The sequence below is a fragment of the Homo sapiens genome, chromosome 2 (genome assembly GCF_000001405.40).
Source record: "Homo sapiens chromosome 2, GRCh38.p14 Primary Assembly".
NCBI classification, from domain to species: domain Eukaryota; kingdom Metazoa; phylum Chordata; class Mammalia; order Primates; family Hominidae; genus Homo; species Homo sapiens.
Window position 1 is genome coordinate 61,743,675 of NC_000002.12, and position 24,883 is coordinate 61,768,557.

At 42.5% G+C, this 24,883-nt stretch overlaps 1 long non-coding RNA gene across 2 annotated transcripts, besides 1 other annotated feature; it reads right to left on the minus strand.

Moving 5' to 3' along the window:
• Nucleotides 1-291: 291 nt before the first annotated feature.
• Nucleotides 292-20,589, minus strand: LOC107985767 (uncharacterized). Of its 2 annotated transcripts, XR_007086333.1 has the most exons (3): nucleotides 20,359-20,589; nucleotides 1,348-1,449; nucleotides 882-984 (listed from the first exon to the last, which is right to left on the minus strand). It is a non-coding gene; the product is annotated as an uncharacterized LOC107985767 (long non-coding RNA). The 2 variants fall into 2 exon arrangements; XR_001739092.2 differs by having other exon boundaries at nucleotides 292-1,449.
• Nucleotides 20,179-20,378: an enhancer, noted in NCBI's record as "active region_15836". NCBI's record gives its function as "activates an Ori minimal core promoter by ATAC-STARR-seq in GM12878 lymphoblastoid cells {active_cell/tissue: GM12878}" and the evidence as "EXISTENCE:reporter gene assay evidence [ECO:0000049][PMID:35858748]".
• Nucleotides 20,590-24,883: the final 4,294 nt, after the last annotated feature.

The following is a 24,883-nucleotide window of genomic DNA, read 5'->3' on the forward strand; positions in this document are numbered from 1 at the left end:
TTGGGTCCTGCTTTGTGCCAGCCACATATATGCATGTTAGTTTTTCTCAACATTAGAAACACATGGAAAGCTTTAAAAAATACACCAACCTAAGACCAATTAAAGCCAAATCTCTAGGGGTGGGGCTTCAGTATCTGTAGTTTTTAAGAGCCCCCAGATGATTCTAACGTGCAACCGGAGTTGAAACTCTCAGCGCACAATGCTACTTTACATGTTAGCTTCTTAACGCCTTACACAAACCTGGAAAATAGGTCCTCTTATCCGTATTCAAGTATATGAATAAACTGAGGCTCAGGGAGGTTAAATATTTTACTCAAGAGGAAATCACAGAGTCATAATTCAAACCCACACTAGTTTGACTTCACAGGCTGCTTTGCTATACCAGTTCCGATCTTTATGTGCCTCTCTGAGAAAGAACAAACTTTTTCATTCAAAGGCAAAATGCAGTGATGAACAAAATATCATGAACTTTTCATGGCAAATGTGACCTCCTTAATTTTAATCCTTTAAGAGACAAAAGAATAGGCCAGGAGAGGCGGCTCACACTTCACCTGAGTCTAGGAGTTTGAGACCAGCCTGGGCAACATGGCAAAACGCCATCTCTATGTCTCCACAACAAACACAAAAAAATTAGCTGGGCGTGGTGGCACAGGCCTGTAGTCACAGCTACTTGGGAGGCTGAGGTGGGAGGATCACCTGAGCCTGGGAATTCCAGCCTGCAGTGAGCCATGATGGCGCCACTGCACTCCAGCCTGGATGACAGGAGTGGGACCCTGTTTCAAAAAAAATAATAAACTAAAAAATAAAAAAGAGAGAAACAATAGAATAAAGCCATATTCCAGAGTTTAGTTCTAAGTTGGATGAGTCCTTTGTAGCCAACAAAACTTCTGATAATCTTTATTGAAGAGAAGCTTGTTGTTGATGAAACTCCTAAGTACCATCTGGGATTGGAATGGGTCCTGGTGGGATACAGCCTCAGATCTCCTGGATACCGGGTAATTAGAAGTCACACAGAATACAGGGCCTCAAGCCTACCTCATGTGCCCCTCACATTAGTTCCTGAATCCCATGTCTCCTTTTTTCTTGGATTCATTGTTCACATTGCTAGAGTTCAACCCCACATGATTATTTCAGTAAAGATCTGTGGATGGTACAATTTCAGAATCTTTGGATATACAAAAATAACCATATTTTGCACTCTCACTTGAAAGATAGTTTTTCTCAGTCTGATTTTTCCTCAGATTGTTGTCTTCCAGCAATGATGCCAATGAGAAACCTGATGCCACACTGATTCCCATTCCTTTGAGCTTAACCTGTTTATCTCTTTGGAAGCTTTTAGGATTTTACCTTCGTGCCCAGTGTTCTAACATTTCACCATGACATGTCCAGGTGTTGGTTTCCATTTCATTCATCTTGGTTAACATTTCCAATGAGAAGACTTGTATCTTTCTGAAATTTGGAGAAATATTGCTTTAATGATTTCTCCTCTACATTCTCTCCTTTCTTTCTTTTTTTGTTTTTTGAGACAGAGTCTCGCTCTGTCGCTCAGGCTGGAGCCCAGTGGCGCAAACTCGGCTCACTGCAAACTCCGCCTCCCAGGTTCAAGCAATTCTTGTGCCTCAGCCTCCCAAGTAGCTGGGATTACAGGCATGTGCCACCATGCCTGGCTAATTTTTGTATCTTTGTAGAGACGGGCTTTCACCATGTTGGCCAGGCAGGCCTCAAACTCCTGACCTCAAGTGATCCTCCCTCCTCAGCCTCCCAAAGTGCTGGGATTATAGGCATGAGCCATTGAGCCCGGCCCATTTTTACTTATCTAACCCCTCAGTGAATCTCTATGAGGAATGTCCAGGGTTCGTCCCGCTCACTTTTCTTACCAGTTGATTCTAGAGTTGGGATGACACTGAGCTCCTATCTGGATTGCTGTCTTCTGCAAGTGTTTTGGACTGTGGTTTCTTTCAGTACTGTTCCTATATATCTGATCCTGTTAGATATCTATCTCTCAGGCACGTTGCAACATTTCTGGTAAAGCCCTTTCTTGCTTTTTAAGCTGTTATAAATTGGGATCTGTGTGTGTGTGTGTGTGTGTGTGTGTGTGTGTGTGTGTGTGTGTGTGTAGCATGTAGAAATATCAACAGTCCTGGGAAATATAGTAGGTATTTAATAAGTACTGTATATTTTGAATTCATAAAAAATGAATGTATGGGCTGGACACAGTGGCTCACACCTATAATCTCAGCACTTTGGGAGGCTGAAGCAGGAGGATCACTCAAGCCCAGGAGTTTGAGACCAGCCTAGGCAACATAGTGAGACTTCCCCACCTTTATTTTATTAAAAAAAAAAAAAAGGAGATGTTGAAGATGAAGAAGAAGAAGAAGAGGAAGAAGAAGAAGGAGAAGAAGAAAGGAATGAAGGGAAAAAAGGTATCTATAAGGAACTTATAAAGAAATTTACAAGAAAAAAACATTAAAAAGTGGGCAAAGGACATGAACACTTTTCAAAAGAAGACATACAGACAGCCAACAATTAAACAATCACACAAAAAAAGCTCAACGTCACTGATCATTAGAGAAATGCAAATCAAAACCATAATGAGATACCATCTCTCCCCAGTCAGAATGGCTATTACCAAAAAGTCAAAAAACGGGCCAGGTGCAGTGGTTCATGCCTCTAATCCCAGCACTTTGGGAGGCCAAGGCGGGTGGATCACCTGAGGTCAGGAGTTCGAGACCAGCCTGGCCAACATGGTGAAACCCCCTCTCTACTAAAAATAGAAAAATTAGCTGGGTGTGGTGGCAGGCCCCTGTAATCTCAGCTATTTGGGAGGCTGAGGCAGGAGAACTGCTTGAACCGGGGAGGTGGAGGTTGCAGTGAGCTGAGATCGTGCCATTGCACTCCAGCCTGGGTGACAGAGCAAGAATCTGTCAAAAAAAAAAAGTTAAAAATAACTGATGCTGGTGAGATTAAAAAGAAAAAGGGACACTTATACACTGTTGGTGGGAGTGTAAATTAGTTCAACCATTGTGGAAGACAGTGTTGCAGTGAGCTGAGATCGTGCCATTGCACTCCAGCCTGGGCGACAGAGCAAGAATCTGTCACGAAAAAAAGTTAAAAATAACTGATGCTGGTGAGATTAAAAAGAAAAAGGAACACTTATACACTGTTGGTAGGAGTGTAAATTAGTTCAACCATTGTGGAAGACAGTGTGGTAATTCCTCAAAGATGTAAAAACAGAAATACCATTCAACCCAGCAATCCCATTACTGAGTATATACCCAAAGGAACATAAATTGTTCTATTATAAAGACACATGCACGCATATGTTCATTGCAGCAATATTCACAATAGCAAAGACACGGAATCAACCTAAATGCCCATCAGTGGTAGACTGGATAAAGAAAATGTGGCACATATACACCCTGCAATACTATGCAGCCATAACAAAGAATGAGATTATGTACTTTGCAGGAACATAGATGGAGCTGGAAGCTATTATCCTTACCAAACTAATGCAGGAACAGAAAACCAAATACTGCATGTTCTCACTTATAAGTGGGAGCTAAATGATGAGAATACATGGACACATAGAGGGTAACATCACACACTGGGGCTTATCCAAGGGTGGAGGTGGGAAGAGGAAGAAGATCAGGAAAAGTAACTAATGGGTAATAAATAGGCTTAATACCTGACTGATGAAATAATCCACACAACAAATCTCCATGGGGGCAGGAGTGGGGTAATCCCAGCACTTTGGGAGACCGAGGTGGGAGGATCACTTGGGGCCAGGAGTTCAAGACCAGCCTGGCCAACACAGCAAAACCCCTCTCTACTAAAAATACAAAAAATTAGCTGAGCATGTTGGCGCACCCTTGTAGTGCCAGGTGCTAGGGAGGCTGAGGCACAAGAATTGCTTGAATCCAGGAGGCAGAGTTTACAGTGAGCCGAGATGGCGCCACTGCACTCCAGCCTGGGTGACAGAGTAAAACCGTCTCAAAACACACACACACACACACACACACACACAACTCATGACACAAGTTTATCTACGTAACAAACCTGCACATGTAACCCTGAACTTACAAGTTAAAAATAAATAAATGGTAAAAGAAAAAAAAAGAATGAATGAGTATACGTGTTATGTGTGTTTTTTCTGTTGTTCTTCTTGTCTGTACATCATTCCTATTTATACTTCTTCTTCTTATTTATTTATTTATTTATTTATTTATTTGAGACAAGGTCTCACTCTTTTACCCAGGGTGGAACACAGTGACGTGATCATGGCTCACTGTAGCCTCTACCTCCTGGGCTCAGGCGATCCTCCTGCCTCAGCATCCAGAGTAGCTGGGACCACAGGTGCATGCCACTATGCCCAGCTGGTTTTTTAATTATTTGTAGAGACAAAGTCTCACTGTGCTACCCAGGCTGGTCCTGAACTCCTGGGCTCAAGCAATCCACCCACCTTGGCCTCTCAAAGTGCTGGGATTACAGGCATGAGCTACTGTACCTAGCCCATTCCTATGTCTTTTGAAGAATGTATCCTCCTTTCCCCCAACATGTGCTTCTGGTGGGGTTATCAAATAAACCCAGGCCCCGAGACCACATGTATGCACCGGTGACCCAATCCTAACCAAATGGGAATATCTTATTTTCATGGCCATATTTACCAATACAAAACAGAATAGGTAACCCGACATGGTCCAATAAGTCTCCTTCTGTAGGAGAGTGAATGAAGTCAACACACAGATAGGCTGAGCCAGAGTTGTGGAGGATGAGGGATGTAGATAGACAAAGAGAAACCTGGAGGGCAATTGCATTTGAGCCACTAGATATGGCAGCCAAGTTCACCTTTTAACTTTCCAGGGACATAGGTCAAACAATTGCCTTTTGTGTTTAAGCTTATTTGAGCTGGGACTCTCTAACGTACAACTAGAAGAGTCCTGACTAATACAATGTCTAAAGAAAGACTATTTCAACTTTGAGGAGGATTGGTAAGCACTGTAATCTCACAGCTCTGAAAAGCAGTATACCTTCAGTATTGTCCAGGAGAATGGCTGTCACAGACATAATCCTGTAGTGGAAATGGAATCACTAAGTCTTTAAGATCAGCCAGCTAATTTCCCTTGATCTAATTCCCAGGGCACCAAGAAGCCTCTGATTATAAATTGCCTACCCAGGTAGAATTGCCTAGAAAGACAGTAAGCAATCAACAAGAATATCCAGTATACTCAATACTTGTTTCGTTCATTTTTAAGCAATAAGTTGTCAATGCTCTAAAATCAGATCACTTTGGTGAATGCTAATATTGAATTTTCTGAACCTAGAAAGGCCTCAAACCAACATAATCTAGTGGTTAAAATATAGATTCTAGCACCAGACTGCCTGGAGTTGACTCACAGCTCTGCTACTAGCTGTGTAACTTGGGTTGAGTTTTTTAACCTATCTGTTCCTCATTTTCTCATTGATAAAATGGGACTATAATAGTAACTACCTCATAGGGTTGTTAAATGAGAATTATATGCATTAATACCTATGAAGGAATTAAAACATAGTAAATACTGTATAAGTACTTGAAAAAATAAAATAAATATACTAAGGTGAGGAAGAGACCTGGAATGTGGTATCCACTCCAGGGAGACTGAATGACTGCCTCTCTAATACACGAAGAAGTTTAGAACCTCTTTCAATTATTGGCTTACATTTCTAAGTGATGGGCTGAATTCTAAACTTCTAGAGGACAGGAAGGTGCCATACTCATCTTTATGTTTCTAATGCCTGGGACTTGATAGGCCCAAAGAGACAGAAAGTACCCTGTTCGTGAAATCCAAAGATAGGGGTTGAATCTTCACTATACCGCCCAGTGTTTTTCCTAGAACAATTTGGTTAACCTCCCTGACCCTCATTTCCTGCAGCAGCAGTAAAATGAGAATAAGAATACCTCTCTCAATTATTGTGAGGATGAAAGAAGATAATAATTTAGGGAAGTATCTGGGATGTAGTACATGTTCAATCAGTATGGGTTTCCTTCCAATGTTAAAGTTTATAGTTATATAAATATTTTTCATATTATTCAAATAAAGGAGCATATATTCATTTAAGCATTCTATGACAAAATACCTTTGCTGCGCTTATAAGGTCAGCTGTTAGCATCATGACAATAATGCTTTAAGAAAATACATAAAAGGCTGGGCGTGGTGGCTCATGCCTATAATCCCAGCACTTTAGGAAGCCGAGGCAGGCGGATCACCTGAGGCCAGGAGTTCAAGACCAGCCTGACCAACATTGTGAAACCCCGTCTCTACTAAAAATACAAAAAATTAGCCAGGTGTGGTGGTGCATGCCTGTAGTCTCAGCTACTCGGTAAGCTGAGGCAGGAGAATCACTTGAACCCAGGAGGCGGAGGTTGCCGTGAGCCAAGGTCACACCACTGCACTCCAGCCTGGGCGACAGAGCGAGACTCCATCTCAAAAAGAAAATACATAAAACATAAATGTATGACTTTTTAGGGAAATGATTTCACTTTCTGAATCCTTGGCCAGGACTTTTAACTTTAAATGAGATAGAATCAGCTGAGATACTGGTTGGTATACTAGTTATTAAAAATCTTCCTTACAGGGCATAGGAAAATAAATTCAAATATATTCACTTCTTTATACATTCAAAATCTATTTTGATGAGCATCTATTATGAGCTAGGCACTTTGCTAGAGATTAACTACGCATTTTCTATGTTGAATCTGCAATGAACATAATTTGCATCTTCTTTAGCTTTAGTTCTTAACAGATGACATGTTCAAATTTCTTCAGATGCTGATTACTCATTCATTCATTCAATATACATTGAGATCTGTTCTATCCCAGTCACTCTGCTAGATGCCGGGGACATAATAGCAAACAGACAGATAAGGCCCCAGCCACCATGGAGCTTACATTTCCACTGAGGGAAGGGAAGGAAAAGAAGTAAAATAATTACAAACTGCCATGAGTACAAGAAGGGACACAAAAAAGGAAGAAAGATGTACAATAGCAGGGGAGGGAGCAAGGAATATTCCATCAGGGTGCTTAGGGAAGGTCTCAAGGGCAGGGATGATCCTGGTTCACTGCTATGAGGGGCACGTAGAACATGCCTGGAACACTAGGCACTCAATAAATGAGTAAGGAGATAACACATAAGCTGAAACCCAAGATTGGCAACCATTCAAGGAGAAGAGCATTCCAGCCAGAGAAAACAGCACGTACAAAATCTCTGAAGTGGAGAACTTGGAATGTTTGAGGACTTGAAAGAGATCAGTGTGGCTGGAGCAAAGTGATCAAGGAGGGACAAGAGTAGGAAAAGATGAGGTTGGAAAAACTGACAAGGACCAGCCAGATTATGCCGGGCCTCAGAAGCAATGGTAAGGAGTTTGTAGTTTATATAATTTTTTAAAAAATAAACAGAATAATTCTAGTAACATGGGTATAACTAAAGGGAAATATATTCACTAACCCAGACACTACGGATGCTTTTATTTTTTTTTTTCAAGTTAATCAACCTCTTTATTTGAAGACAGGGCAAAATAAATAAAAATCTTTGTCTTTCACTTCTGGCTCAGGTTTGGCATTTCTTTTTTTTAAGTTTTATTTTAAGTTCAGGGGTACATGTGCAGGTTTGTTACATAGGTAAGCTTGTGTCATGGGGGTTTGTTGTACAGGTTATTTCATCACCCAGGTATTAACCCTAGTACCCATTAGTTATTTTTCCTGATCCTCTTCCTCCTCCCACCCTCCACCCTCTGATAGGCCCCAGTGTGTGTTGTTCCCCTCTATGTGTCCATGTGTTCTCATACAGGTGCTCCTTGATTTAGAATGGACGTAAGTCCCAATAAAACCATCTTAATTTGGGGCCAGGCGCGGTGGCTCATGCCTGTAATCCCAGCACTTTGGGAGGCCAAGGTGGGCAGATCACGAGGTCAGGAAATCGAGACCATCCTGGCTAATACAGTGAAACCCCATCTCTACTAAAACTACAAAAAAAAAAAAAAATTAGCCGGGCATGGTGGCAGGCACCTGTAGTCCCAGCTACTCGGGAGGCTGAGGAAGGAGAACGGCATGAACCCGGGAGGCAGAGCTTGCAGTGAGCTGAGATCGTGCCACTGCACTCCAGCCTGGGCGACAGAGTGAAACTCCATCTCAAAAAAAAAAACAAAAAAAAAAAAACAAAAAAAAAAAAACCATCTTAATTTGGAAATATTGTAAGTCAAAAATGCATTTAATACACTTAACCTACCAAACATCATAGCTTAGCTTAGCCTACCTTAAACATGCTCAGAACACTTACATTAGTCCAACGTTACATTAGCTGGGTAAAATCATCTAACACAAAGCCTATTTTATAATAAAGTGTTGGATATCTCATATAACTTACTGAATAATGCACTGAAAGTGAAAAACAGAATGGCTGTATTGGCACTTGAAGTATGGTTTCAACTGCATGCATATTGCTTTTGCACCATTGGAAAGTCAAAAAATGGTAAGTTGAACCATTATAAGTTGAGGACTGTCTGTATATTTCTATGACTTGTGACTGAAGTTGACAAGAGAAGGATCATGAAGATGTACTTGATGGAATTCCAGGCATGTTAGCATAGTTCTTAGTAGGTCTTAAAATGGAAATAAAACTCAAGGCTTTATTCTGAGAATTTCTTCAAGCCTCTTTGTTAAATTCACATCAGCACTAGAAAAGTACACAATATCTGCATAGATTTAAACAACTTTTAATCCAATTCAAAAAGGAGGTATGATAAGATCCTTAGGATTTGGGTTGTGGAAATAAAGTATTAATAATACTCTCTCTTGGGCAGGTACGGTGGCTCATGCCTGTAATCCCAGCACTTTGGGAGGCCAAGGCAGGTGGATCAGGAGGTCAGGAGTTCAAGACCAGCCTGACCAACAGGGTGAAACCCCGTCTCTACTAAAAATACAAAAATCAGCCTGGCATGGTGGTGAGTGCCTGTAATTCCAGCTACTCAGGAGGCTGAGGCAGGAGAATCACTGGAACCCGGGAGGCAGAGGTTGCAGTGAGCCGAGATCACACCACTGAACTCCAGCCTAGGCAACAGAGCGAGAGACTCTGTCTGAGGAAAAAAAAAAAAAAAAAAACTAGGCTAGATGCGGTGGTTTATGTCTGTAATCCCAGTACTTTGGGAGGCCAAGGTGAGCAGATCACAAGGTGAAGAGATCAAGACCATCCTGGCCAACATGATGAAACCCTATCTCTACTAAAAATACAAAAATTAGCTGGGTGTGGTGGCATATGCCTGTAGTCCCAGCTACTCGGGAGGCTCAGGCAGAAGAATCGCTTCAACCCGGGAGGTGGAGGTTGCAGTGAGCCAATATCGCGCCACTGCACTCAGCCTGGTGACAAAGTGAGACTCCGTCTCAAAAATAATAATAATAGTACTCTCTCTTTAATTGTCTTTAGGGGCACTTCATAGAGCCACCTACTTAGATAACCCATAAATATCCCCAAATTGCATTCCCTACCTCAGTTTATGGACATATAAACTGAAACAGGAAAAAGAACAAACTGGAATAGGTTGAATATACATTTTTTCCTTCACCTCTATTGACCCTATCTGTATTTCTTCCACTATCAAAGGCAACAAACAAAGGGAATAAATAAAGCCCTTCTATGATAGGTAAGACTGTTAGCCCAGAATGATTTGGGACCATAAAAGCAGGTTGAATTACTCTGACTGGAAGGTGACAACCAATCTGATCTGACCCTTCATCTTTTTCCATCCTCCAGATCATAAAAATCTAAACATATAACTGCAATAAAATAGGAACACCATTTGGAATTACTGTGACAATTGTTATAGAGATTAACATTTTAATTGAAAACTTCCTATGTGTAAAAATAGCTTAAACAGGATGTCTTAGTTCATTTTCGGTTTCTATAACAGAATACCATAGACTGGGCAATTTATAAAGAAAAGAAATTTATTTGACTCATGGTTCTAGAGACTGGGAAGTCCAAGAGCATAGCACAAGCATCTGACAAGGGTCATCCCATGGAGAAGAGTGGAAGGTGGAAGCAAGCACATTAGACAGAGAGACAAGATGGGGGCCAAACTTATCCTTTTAGCAGGAGCCCACTCCCACAACAATGAACCTACTCTTACAATAATGGCACTAATCCATTCATGAGGGCTCTTTAATCACCTCTTAAAGGCCCCACCTCTTATTTAATAATATCATAATGGCAATTAAGTTTCCAGCACATGAACTTTGGGGGACCTATTCAAACCACAGCACAAGGGATAAGAGGAAATACCAGATGCGAACTAGTTCATTCAAAAGGAATTAATAGTTTTTGCTTTTAAAAAATTCAAATCAATTGCACCTTCTGGTATTACTCTGTAACAAACACTTAAAATACATTATATCATGTTATCCTCACAGCAACCCTTGAGGTCAGTTTTAATATTTCCATTTTGTAAAGGAGTCTTAGAGAGGTTATTTACCCAAAGTCACACAAATGATACCGTTATAATAATAATGGCAAAGTCAGATTCAAACCCAAGCTGACAATTTTTCATCATTTTATAAATAGACATAACACCCTCAATAATTATTTTACATCACCTTTATCTGAAATTAGACAGCTCATCAAGGGCTCTAAATCAGATGCTTAACAGCAACCATCTTGTTTTGAAAACCATCCTATTACGTTTGTATAGCATTTGTCACAAAGTGTTTTCATTGGATCTTTAACACATCCTCTGAGGTAGGCAGGTGGATGTTATAGAATAGGAAATTGAGGTGCTGAGAGAGGCAGTCACTGCCCCAGGGTAAGGCCAAGTTGGATTCTCACAGCTCTCATCTCTATGTTGAGGAATCTCTGTTGTGCTGTGAGTTGCGTGTGTCTACGTCAGGGCCCCACACTGGGCTAGAAGCTCTTTGAGGGCTGGTCCTGCCTATGTCCTATTTGTGACCCAGATGCCTAGCCCAGTGCTGAGAGCCCATATAGAGTTATGTCACTCCATAAACATTCTAAACAGCTTTATCAAGGTATAAATAACTATGAAATAACACGAAATATGTATATTGGTCTCTACCCCTGGATCCTGACAGAGTTCTTAAAACCCTTGTCAATAGGGACACTAGGAGAATCTTTTGTTTTAATATTCAGATTTTTTTTTTTTTGAGACAGAGTCTTGCTCTGTTGCCCAGGCTGGAGTACAGTGGCACCATCTTGGCTCACTGCAACCTCCGCCTCCTGGGTTCAAGTGATTCTCTTGCCTCAGCCTCCCAAGTAGCTGGGATTACAGGTGCCTGCCACCAGGCCCAGCTAATTTTTTATTTTCAGTAGAGACAGGGTTTCACCATGTTGGCCAGGCTGGTCTTGAACTCCTAGCCTTAAGTGATCTGCCCGCCTCAGCCTCCCAAGGTGCTGGAACTATAGGCGTGACCACTGCACCCAGCCTTGTCTATACTTAATTTCTATTTTCTCTCCTCTCTCGAACCCACTCTAATCAAGACTTCCTTCCACTGTTTCACTGAAACTGCACTTATGAAAATGACCAATGACCTCCATGCGGTCAAATCTAAAGGACAAATCTCAATTCTTGTCTTGTTCTGCCTATCAGTAGCATTTGTCTTATTGGTTGGTCTCTTTTTCTTTTATGAGACAGAGTCTCACTCTCTCGTCCAGGCTGGAGTGCAGTGGCATGATCTCGACTCACTGCAAGCTCCACCTCCCAGTTTCATGCCATTCTCCTGCCTCAGCCTCTCAAGTAGCTGAGACTACAGGCACCCGCCACCACGCCGGGCTAATTTTTGTGGGTTTTTTTGTATTTTTGGTTTTTTTGTATTTTTAGTAGAGATGAGGTTTCACCGTGTTAGTCAGGATGATCTCAGTCTCCTGACCTCAGGTGACCTGCCCGCCTCGGCTTCCCAAAGTGCTGGGATTACAGGTGTGAGCCACCGTGTCCAGCCTGAGACCCTTTCTTCACCTTGTCTCCAAGACACCACCCTCCATGGTTCTCCTCATAGCTCAATTGCATTCGTTCTCTGCATTCTTTGTTGAGGCCTCCTTTATTTTCCTAAGCTTTAAAAACTGGTGTACCTGGGTCACATTGCATAGACCTTTTCTCTTCTCTATCTACATATCCTCACTCCTCGCTGTTCTCAACCAGTCCATGACTTTAAATACCATTTATATGTTATTGCCTCCCAAATTCATATTATCTAGTTGTCTTAGTCTGTTTTTGCTGCTATAACAAAATATCACTGACTGGGTAATTTATAAATAATAGAAATTTATTTCTCACAATTTTGGGAGCTGGGAAGTCCAAGATCAAGGTGCTGAAAGATTCAGTGTATGATAAAGGGCTCTATCTCTGCTCCCAAGATGCTGTCTTGTTGCTGCGTCCTTTACAAGAGACAAATGCTGTGTCCTTACATGGCAGAAGAAATGAAAGGGCCAGGCAGCTTTTACAAGGGCATTAATCCCATTCAGGAGGTCAGGGCCCTCATGGCCTAATCACCTCCCAAAGACCCCACCTCTTAATGCCATCTCCTTGGGGTTTAAGTTCCACACATATGAATTTTGGAGGGACACACACATTCAAACAATAGCACTAGCCCAACTTCTTACCCAAATTCTAGAAATATGCATTTATCCAGCAGGCTATGTGACATCCCCATTTGGATGTCTACAGGCATCTAAACAAGCCAAAAACAAAACTGATCTGAAGAGCTTCATATTGCTCTTCATTCAGCTCACCATTTCATAATAGTAACTCCATTCTTCCACTTGCTCAGGCCCAAATCTGGGAATCATTCTTGACTCTTACTCCTCCTCTCACGTCCCACATGCACTCCATTAGAACACCCAGTGTTCCATTCCTGCAAAACCTATTCATAGTCGGACTGCTTCTCACTACCTCCTGCTCTGCCAGTTTAGTCCAAATCACCATCATTGCTTGCCTGAATCATTGCGATAGCCTCACAATTGATGCTCCACTTCTATCCATGGCCCCCTCACTCGATTTTTTACCCAGTGAAGTGATACTTTTAATATTCAAGTTAGATCATGTTCGTTTTCTGTTTAAAACTCTCCTGTGGTTTCCCATTCTACTCAGGATGAAATAAGCTCTTCTACGATGTGTCTATACCACCACGATCTCCACCCACTCTTATCTCATTTCCTATAGCTTTCCATTGTTCACCCTAGTCTGTCCACAATGGTATCCTTGCCATTCCTCAGTTATGCCAAGCACACCCCGTCTCAGAATCTTTGTACTTCTAATATTCTCCAGACATTCATAGGTAATACCCTAACTTCCTTAATAGCTAGGCCTTTCCTAACTACCCCCGTATAAAATAAATTTTCTCATCTCTCTCTGTCCCCTTACCCTGATTTTTTTTTTAATTAGCTGCCTCAGGACATCTTCGAATACCTTGATTTATTATTCTTCATAGCATTATTTTATAATATTTCATTTTTAAATAATTATAGAGTCATACGTAGTTGTAAGAAATTATACAAAGATTCTGTGTGCCCTTTACTCAGTTTCCCACAATGGTCACATTTTACAAAACTGTAGTAAACTATCACGACTAAGAAATTGACATTGCTGGCCGGGCGCGGTTGCTCACACCTGTAATCCCAGCACTTTGGGAGGCCGAGGCGGGCAGATCACGAGGTCAGGAGATCGAGACCATGCTGGCTAACACGGTGAAACCCAGTCTCTACTAAAAATACAAAAAGAAATTAGCTGGGCGTGGTGGCGTGCGCCTGTAGTCTCAGCTACTCGGGAGGCTGAGGCAGAATGGCGTGAACCCGGGAGGCGGGGCTTGCAGTGAACCAAGATCGCGCCACTGCACTCCAGCCTTGGGCGACAGAGCGAGACTCCGTCTCAAAAAAAAAAAAAAAAAAAAAAAAAAAAGAAATTGACATTGCTACAGTCAAGATACAGAGTATTTCCACAGTTCCACTACCCCAGAATCCTTCATGCTGCCCTTTTATAGCCACACCCACTTCCCTTCAACCCCCACCCCCTCCTTAACCCCTGACAACCACTAATCCGTTCTCTATTTCTATCGTTTTGTTACTTCAAGAATGTTATATAGCACAGGCACAGTGGCTCACTTTTGTAATCCCAGCACTTTGGGAGGCGGAGGTGGACGGATCACTTGAGGTCAGGAATTCAAGACCAGCCTGGCCAACATGGTGAAACCCCATCTCTACTAAAAATACAAAACTTAGCAGGGCATGGTGGCACGTGCCTGTAATCCCAGCTACTCGAGAGGTTGAGGCAGGAGAATCTCCCGAACCCAGGAGGCAGAGGTTGCAGTGAGCAGAGATCACACTGCTGCACTCCTGCCTGGGCAACAGAGGGAGATCCGTCTCAAAAAAACAAAAAACAAAACAAAAAACAAAAAACAAAACCACAACAACACAGATTCCTGGGGTCCATCTCCAGAGTTATTGATTCAGTAGGTCTGGGGTATGGGTCAAGAATCTGAATTTCTGACTAGTTCCCTGATGATGCTGATGCTGCTGATTCATGGACCACACTTTGAAAATAACTGTCTTAGAACATTTTAAAATTTCCCTCCTCATCTTCACCTGCCTGATTTATTACTTAACCTTTAGTCCTTCCCTCATCTCAATACATGGTGTTCCATGACACACTGTACTTACCTCATCACCTATCATACTCTACTGTAAAATCTTATTTAAATGTTTCTTGCTCACCAGACTGTATCCTCAACACCTAGCACAGAGTCTGGCACAGAATAGGCACTCAATTTATATGATGACTGAATAAATTCCTTAATTTTGACACTTTAATAGATTCAACTGAAGCAATATCTGTACAGCCATAGGATATTTAGAAGGAAATGCTCCTATGTACTAGAAATAAGAAATGAAAACATCAAGGCAAGGATCTCTTGATTGATAGGTTTAAGGAAAAATACATTAAGGTTTTTTTAGTTAAGATTTACTCGGAAGTTTTTGTGTTTATTGCAGTTCATTTCAACCAAAACACCACACTGAAATAATGATGGACAACAAAGGTCAAGAATTCAAGTTGATTAAAAACAAACAAACAAACAAACAAACAGAAAACTTGACCTTTTTTTTTTTTAATAATTGCTTCAAAGTCTGTATTTTGTTCTTCTAAAAGTGCACTCTTGCTGGGCGTGATGGCTCACACCTGTAATCCCAGCACTTTGGAAGGCCAAGGCAGGTGGATCACCTGAGGTCAGGAGTTCGAGACCAGCCTGGCCAACTTTGTGAATCCCCATCTCTACTAAAAATACAAAAATTTGTCAGGCGTGGTGGCGGGCGCTTGTAATCCCAGCTACTTGGGAGGCTGAGGCAGGCGAATCACTTAAACTAGGGAGGCAGAGGTTGCAGTGAGCTGAGATTGCACCATTGCACTCCAGCCTGTGCAATGGAGCAATATTCTGTATCAAAAAAAAAAAGGGCACTCTTTGCCTTCAGACTAAACACCCCAAACCACAAGACTATCTAACACAGCCAAGCCTTGAAAACAACTCTTTGACTCACATCTGGCCAGATGTTGAAATCTGAACATATTTGCTTGTAGAGGTCTACAAATCATAGTCTAAAATTTCAAAACAAAGAAAAAAACTGTAGAAACCTGAAGTTTTTCATAAGTTCGTGGCAAACTCATTTAGCAGCAAAATCTGACCTGAACAGATGTGTATCTGTTTCTAGCCTTTGTTTATCCTACTTATGGTTAATACTAATGCATTTTTTGCATGCATATTTTGGTTTGATTACAAGATTCTGCTCCAGATCCTGCTGGGCTGTTACAGAATATATGGGATATGCATTATATTCCTGTCTAAAATCCTGATAACTCTCAGTTCTGAAACACATCTGGCAAGAAAGAATTTGGATACAGGATTATGTCCCTATGCTAAGAATGAGATATGAATTTCTCTTAATCTCTGTTATCTAGTCTACTCTAAATATTTATCCAAATTATACCCTCTGTTATCTTATTGTTTTGTATGTGAAAATCAGTCTTGAAAGTAGTTTTCTTCATTTTATCTATTTTAATATCAGTTGAATGTGTTGGAAATTCAATGTTCCTATTCATATGTTAGACTTTCTTTTTAAATCAGGTTATAGGAAATTCTATACTTCTTTGGGATCCTTGTGGCTCACTTACATCAGATGAATCATCGTCATCCTCATATGAATCATCGCCAGAACAATTTCAAAGCATAGAACTATAAAATATATCTAGTGGATAACATTATTTTGGAATGCATTTGGAAGATTAATGTCACATTTAAAAGCCATTGACATTTGGTAGTCTCAACAGATGAAAGCCAAATTTTTGCAGATTAAGATGTGAAGGGGGAATGACAAACTGAAATTATTGCAAAGAGCAAAAAAAAAAAATCCACCTAAAATATATTTAGGAATGAACTGAACAAGAAATGTATGGATCTATGTGAAGAAAATGCTACTGGGAAACTTTAAAAGAAAACTTGGGTAAATGGAGGACCACATGTTTTCAGGTGGCATATTTAGTTTCAAAACAAAGAAAAGTCAGTCAGGTGAGCTTAAATTGAAAGGGGTTTATTTTATTTTATTTTATTTTATTTTATTTTATTTTATTTTATTTTATTTTATTTTATTTATTTTTTGAGATGGAGTCGTGCTCTGTCACCCAGGCAGGAGTACAGTGGTGCGATCTCGGCTGACTGCAACCTCCGCCTCCCAGGTTCAAGCGACTCTTCCGCCTCAGCCTCTCGAGTAGCTGGGATTACAGGCGCGTGCCACCATGCCCGGCTAATTTTTGTATTTTTAGTAGAGACAGGGTTTCGCCATGTTGGTCAGGCTGGTCTCGAACTCCTGACCTGAGGTGATCCCCCTGCCTCTGCCTCTCGAAGTGCTGGGATTATAGGCATGAACCACCACGTCTGGCCAAAAAGGGGTCTATTTGAAGGAGGAGAGGGGGTACCTTGTGGAGATCCCTAAGAGTGGACAGGGCAGTAGAGCCTTAGTAGTGGCAAGCTAGGACCTGGAAAGCCCCAGAACCATGGGCAGGTAATCCATCATACCCCTCTGGGGCCACAGGACTTCATAACTGCTTCTCTGTGAATCTGCTTCTTTCTGCAGCCTTGCTTTCTCTGTACTGCATACATGTAGATCAAACATCTCTCCCTCCTTTTCCCTTACTTTCTAGGTCAAGAGACAAGTTAAAACCATGTAACTGCACATTTCCAGGAAAGAGAATCTGATTGGACCAGCTTGAATCAGTTTTCTACCCGCCTCTATTCCAATCAGCTATGGCAAGGGAGAAGCGGGTTAATAAAGGATAAGGATGCCAACTGGGATGTGGGGAAGTGCTGGAGCAAACTGCCTGGCATGTGCATTATAAATAGATGAGCACGTCCATATTGTGGAAAGGCAACAGGACAAGAGGACAGGCTCTGGGGTCAAATTGCCTGGCTTTGACTTTTGACCTTGCCACTTATTAGCAGCTTCACTTTGGACAAATTATTCAATTTCTTTTTCTTTTTTGAGATGGAGTCTCGCTCTGTCACCCAGGTGGGAGTGCAGTGGCGTGATCTCGGCTCACTGCAACCTCCACCTCCCAGGTTCAAGCAATTCTCCTGCCTCAGCCTCCCGAGTAGCTGGGACTACAGGTCCGTGCCACCATGCCCGGCTAATATTTTGTATTTTTAGTAGAGATGGGGTTGCACCGTGTTAGCCAGGAGGTTTTGATCTCCTGACCTCGTGATCTGCCCGCCTCAGCCTCCCAAAGTGCTGGGATTACAGGCGTGAGCCACCGCGCCTGGCCAAATTATTCAATTTCTTTATGCCTCGGTTACCCCATCTGTAACATGAGGGTGATAATAGTTGTGTGGATTAAATAACACAAATAACACTTTGTAGAAACTACATAAGTATGTATTACTTTTATAAAGATGTCTGTTTCCCCTAAATTAGTCAATAAAAGTACTGCAATCGCAATCAAAATTACAATTTTTTTTTTTTTTTAAGACAGAGTTTCGCTCTTGTTGCCCAGGCTGGAGTGCAATGGTGTGATCTCGGCTCACCGCAACCTCCATCTCCCGGGTTCAAGTGATTCTCTTGCCTCAGCCTCCCGAGTAGTTGGGATTACGGGCATGCGCCACCACAGCAGACTAATTTTGTATTTTTAGTAGAGATGGGGGGGCGTTTCTCCATGCTGGTCAGGCTGGTCTCGAACTCCCGACCTCAGGTAATCCGCCCGCCTCAGCCTCCCAAAGTGCTGGGATTACAGGCATGAGCCACCACACCCGGCCACAATTGTTTTTTAATTTGACAAAGTTTAAAGTTACCATGGAAGAAATAATATATCTCTGGAGAGGATGGCAGGGATAGCCTCTGCCATCCTGGGAAGAGCACAGATTTATACACTATTGGTAATGTTCTAGGTTAGGTTGAGGTTGGCTTCATATTATTACGCTTTTAAACTTACATATATTACAAAATTCTATTTTATGTGTATTAAATATATTTTTAAGGACAATTCTTAAAGACTAGTAAGCAGAGATTTATCCCATCAGAAATTTTTAAATCATCTAAAGGTATGTTAAAACAGTATTACTGCCCAGCAACAGATAAATCAATGAGGCAGAAAAAGTACATACGGACATTTAGTACAGTCATCCCGTGATATCTGTGTGCGACTGTTTCCAGGAACCCCCGCGGATAACAAGTCCATTACATAAAATGTAGTATTTGCATATAACCTACCCACATCCGTCCTCCTGTATACTTTAAATCACTCTAGATTACTTATAATACCTAATGCAATGTAAATGCATAGCATTTGTGCTGGGATTACAGGCGTGAGCCACTGCACCCGACAAATTATTTTTTTAAAACTCTAAAAATGCTAGAAGAAAATACAGGTAACCATGACATCAAAGCTAGAAACAAAGGAAATGACTCATTAGACATATCTACATAAAAATTAAAAACTTCCTTCAGTAAAAAAAAAAAACGAAAAACCATAGGTGATATTAAAAGATGAATTTGAAAAACAGGAAAAATATCTGTAAATATCTCAATCATAGGTTAATATTTCTAATATACAAAAAGCACTTGTAATTTCTAAAATGTGAATATTTCATTTTAAAAATATTTCTAACATACAAAAAGCACTTGTAATTTCTAAAATGTGAATATTTCATTTTAAAAATAGGCAGAAGTCATGAACTAGTAATTCACAAAAATAGAGCCAATAATTATATGAAAGATGTTCAGTTTTACACTTAGGCAACAAAATGCAAATTAAAACGAGTCTTTTTTAAAGAGATGATAAAGATCACGAAGACTGACAATATCTAAGATTAGCAAGGAGATGCAGAGAGCATATTCCTTCTCATACTGTTAATGGAAAAGTAGTAAATAGGTTTCTAGGGGAGGGTCTGGTAATATCATTTAGAGTCTTACAAACGTGCATTTTCCTTGATCCAGTAATTTTATTTCTATGACTTTATTGTAAAAAAATAATCAGGGACATGTACAGATTTACATATAAGAATATTCATCTAGGATTGTAGACCTGAAAAGCTGTCAATACCTGAAAAGTCCAACAACTTAGGGACTGGTTGAACAAATTATGATATCCATACAGCCATTAAAAATGATTCTGTAGGCTGGACCCGGTGGTTCATGCCCACAGTCCCAGCACTTTGGGAGCCTGAGGTGGGAGTATCACTTGAGCCCGGGAGGTCAAGACCAGCCTGGGCAACAACCCCATCTCTTAGAAAAAATATATATATATAAATATAAATATATATGTAATTATTTTAATTTACCTGCAAAGACATTACTGGGAGATAACGCGCTTACGTTTTTCTGTTTTAAAAAACCAAACACCTTTACGTGTATGTATGAAAATTCTAAATTTATGTAGCAATATGTTAATAGTATTATCCACTGTGGCAAGAATGAGAGTTTAAGTTTCTTTTATAAACATGTATGTACTCTCGAACTACTGCTGCTATTACAGGGAGCAGGCATTTTTTAAAAGCACTATTCTTCTTACAGTCAGGAAATACAGGACACTATTACTTCGCGGGGGAAGACGGGCACTGGGAAGAGTCCACGCCGGCGAAGGCAGGCGAAGACAGGGCTCGCTGACGCCCCCGGTCGCCCGCGCCTCTTCCCACAGCTCTCCGAGGAGCCCAGCTACCGGAAACACGCCACATCAGGCCTCGGAATTCTGGGCATCGGACGGACAGCTCGTGACCTCAGAAGGAGGAAAACGGTCACCTTCTGAAAGAAACACGAACTCCTCTTTCCTGTATCAGAACATTTCTCATTCACCTGAGCGCGGCGTTTCTATCCTGAGATGTTGGGAGGAGGTTCGAGGTGGGCGGGGTGACGGTTTTCTCTTGGAAATGAAAAACAGCCTTTCCTGCTACCCCTGCCCGCTCACACAGGCGAGACTTGGAGTCTGCCCCGCGGAAAGCCGTTTCTATGGGTGACGACGTATGGCAACGCGTCTAAGGGAACGTCGGCGAGTCGACTATTGTGTTCCCAAAGTCGCCCTGAAATGAGGACAGAAGTTCGGGGGAGCCGGGGGCGTAGAGTAAAGGCACGATCTGATTGGCCCGCGGCCGCGCAACGATGGGCGGGACGGGGCAGAAGTGTGGGCGAGCTGGGGCGTCACCGCGCGCCGGGTAGTCTCTCTCACGCCCTGGCGGGTGCGCAGGTCTCTAAACTGGGCGGAGCAAGGGAAGTGATGTGTGGCCTCCGGAAGGACGCGCGTAAATCCTCACCCATAAGTAACGAGTCGCCGTGGTCAAACAAGGCCCTCCTACGATACCAATCGCGTGGCGGGTGTGGTACTGCCGAACCCGAGGAATGAGAAAGGAGGCCCGGCAGAAAGTTCGGATCAGCTGCCGGCCGTTCCCGGCGTAGCCTAGGGCGGGGAGGGATTGACTCCCCGGAACATCCCGGGGTAAAGACCTCGCATAACAGCGAAACCGCTGAGGGACTGTTGTGTGGCGAGGCCTTGGAGACAGACAGGCCCACACACTCCCTTTCCTCGTGAGGGTCACCGACCTGCCTACTTGGGAACGACATAGACCTGACAGTTGTGTTTGGGGGTGGAGGTTGATGACCAGTTATTGAATGAATCGCAGAGACATTTGCGTAGGAGTGTTGATGCAAGATTTTCTTCTTTTTTTTTTTTTTTTTGAGATGGAGTCTCGCTGTCTCCCAGGCTGCAGTGTAGTGGCAGGATCTCGGCTTACAACAACCTCCGCCTCCCGGGTTCAAGCGATTCTCCTGCCTCAGCCTCCCGAGTAGCTGGGACTACAGGCGCACGCCACCACGCCCGGTTGATTTTTGTATTTTTAGCAGAGACGGGGTTTCACCGTGTTGGCCAGGCTGTTCTGGAACTCCTGACCTCAGGTGATCCGCCCACCTCGGCCTCCCAAAGTGCTGGGATTACAGGCGTGAGCCACCGCGCCCGGCCCCCCTCTGGCCACTATTATTATAGTTTTTAAAGCCTCTTAATCGTAAATACTAGAGTCTTATTTTATTCTTAGAGGGAATTTTTAGATGAGAGGCAAAATTGTAAAAAGGAAAGTTTGAATATAATTACAGACTATATTTTACGGAAGAGAAATTGAAAATGTACACTTTTTTCTAAATATTTAAAATAAATGTTTAGGCAGGCACATTAGAAAACATAAAAAGGAGCAAAAACTCAGCACTAAACCACTGGTCAAAGTTAACTGCTGTTAACATTTTAGTGTTTTCCTTCTGTTGTTTTTTCCTATCTTACAAATACTGAATCACTAAACAATGCATTTGTTAGACGAACATAAACCACCCTGTGGCTTTATCTGTGGAGTAGGACTATGGGAGACTTTCACTTTGTTAGATATTTCTGTATCATTTGGAGTATTATAAAATGTACATGCATTCCTTTTCTAACCAGAAAATCTAAAGTGTTTTTGTTTTTGTTTTGAGACGGAGTCTCACCCTGTCGCCCAGGCTGGAGTGCAATGGCAGGATCTCAGGTCACTGCAACCCCTGCCTCCTGGGTTCAAGCGATTCTCCTGCCCCAGCCTCCTAAGTAGCTGGGATTACAGGTGTGCGCCACCACGTCCAGCTAATTTTTTGTATCTCTAGTAGAAACGGGGATTCACCATGTTGGCCATGTTGGTCTCAAAGTCCTGACCTCGTGATCCGCCTGCCTCAGCCTCCCAAAGTGCTGGGATTATAGGCGTGAGCCACCGCGCCCAGCCGAAAATCTAAAGATATTGAAAAGATACAAAGGAGCACATTATGAACATTTTTTTCGTATCACTGAGTATTTTATAACTGCATCATTGATTTTAAAAGAATTCATGACTTTGAAAACTAATATTCTACAAAGTAGCTTTTGATTTAACATGAGATTTTATATATGTGCTTATCTTGGTTCTCTATGAAACCCCATTGAAATAAGAAAATGTAAACACCAGCAAGGACTAAGAGAATGAGAAAGAGACAATAGTGGATGGGAAAAATTGGCATCTACTTAGCGGAGGAAGGAAAGGGAATCCAAGAAGGCTGACTGCAGAGGGGAATGTCAATTAGAAGTAAAGCAATTTATGGCTGGGTGCAGTGGATCACACCTATAATCCCAGCATTTTGGGAGCCCGAGGCAGGCGGATTGCTTGAGCTCAGGAGTTTGAGACCAGCCTGGGCAACATGGCGAAACCCTGTCTCTACCAAAAATACAAAAAAATTAGCTGGGCATGGTGGTGTGTGCCTATAGTCCCAGTTGCTCCGGGAGGCTGAGGTGGGAGGATCGCTTGAGCTGGGAGGTGGAGGTTGCAGTGAGCTGAGATTGTGACGCTGCACTCCAGCCTGGGTGACAAAGCGAGACCCCACCTCAAAAAAAAAAAAAAAAAAAAAGTAAAGCAATTTATATTTCAGAACTCCAAAAAGGCTCACAGAGGTACCATATCAGTGGGAGGGTGTGTAAGGGAGGATCAGGGGGTTGATTGAAAATCTGGCTGGTCGCGATGGCTCACGCTTGTAATCCCAGCACTTGGGAGGCTGAGGCGGGTGGATCACCTGAGGTCAGGAGTTCAATACCAGCCTGACCAACATGGTGAAACCCTGTCTCTACTAAAAATATAAATAGCCGGGTTTGGTGGCGTGCTCCTGTAGTCCCAGCTGCTCAGGAGGCTGAGGCATGAAAATCGCCTGAACTCGGGAGGTGGAGGTTGTGGTGAGCCAAAATTGCACCATTGTACTCCAGCCTGGATGACAGAGTGAGACTCTGTCTCAAATATATATATATATATATTGTATTTTTTCACAGTTCTGTAGGCTATAAATCTGAATCAGAGTGCCAGCATGGATGGTTTCTGGTGAAGGCTGTTTTCCTGCCTTGCAGACATCCACCTTCTCACTGTGTCTTCACTTGGTGGAGACAGAGTGAGCTCTCTGGTGTCCCTTTTTATAAAGATACTAATCCTGGCTGGGCGCAGTGGGTCACGCCTGTAATCCCAGCACTTTTGGAGGCCGAGGCAGGAGGATCACAAGGTCAGGAGATCGAGACCATCCTGGCTAACACGATGAAACACCATCTCTACTAAAAATACAAAAAATTAACCAGGCTTGGTGGGCCTGTAGTCCCAGCTGCTCAGGAGGCTGAGGCAGGAGAATGGCGTGAACCCGGGAGGCAGAGCTTGCAGTGAGCTGAAATCATGCCACTGCACTCTAGCCTGGGCGACAGAGTGAGACTCCATCTTAAAAAAAAAAAAAAAAAAAAAAAAGAAAGATGCTAATTCTATTGGATCAAGGCCCCAACCTTATGACTTCATTTAACCTACTACAAAGACCCTATTTCCAAATACAGTCACATTGGGGGCTGGGTGTTGTCTTAGATTTTATTTAGCTCATGTTTCTGCAGACTGTGTATTCTTTTCTTGTAATTTTTAAATTTATTTATTATTTTTATTTATTTTTTTATTTTTATTTATTTATTTTTTTTTTGAGATGGAGTGTTGCTCTGTTGCCCAGGCTGGAGTGCAGTGGCGCGATTTCGGCTCACTGCAAGCTCCACCTCCCGGGTTCGCACCATTCTCCTGCCTCAGCCTCCCGAGTAGCTGGAACTACAGGCGCCTGCCACCACACCCAGCTAATTTTTTTGTATTTTCAGTAGAGACGGGGTTTCACCATGTCAGCTAGGATGGTCTCGATCTCCTGATCTTGTGATCCACCCACCTCGGACTCCCAGAGTGCTGGGATTACAGGCGTGAGCCACCGCACCCGGCATTTTTTTTTTTTGAGACGGAGTTTAGCTCTTGTTGCCCAGGCTGGAGTGCAATGGCGCTATGTCGGCTCACTGCAACCTCCACCTCCTGGATTCAAGTGATTGTCCTGCCTCAGCCTCCCGAGTAGCTAGGATCACTAGCACCTGCCACCAAGCCTAGCGAAATGTTTTTGTATTTTTAGTAGAGACAGGGCTCCATCATGTTGACCAGGCTGTCTTGAACTCTTGACCACAAGTGATCCACCCGCCTCGGCCTCCCAAAGTGCTGGGGTTACAGGCATGAGCCACCAAGCCACCATGCCTGGCCTGCAGGCTGTATATTCATCAGCAGCACTGGCATCTGCTTCTGGTGAGAACCTCAGGAAGCTTCCACTCTTGGTAGAAGGTGAAGGGAAGCCAGTGTGTCACATGGCAAGAGGGGGAACAAGAGGAAAGGAGGTGCCAGGCTCTTTTTAACAATCAGTTCTCACAGAGATTAAGAGTGAGAACTCACTACTGCAAGGGTAGCACCAAGCCATTCACGAGAGATCTGCCCCCATTACTCAAATACCTCCCACTAGGCCTCAC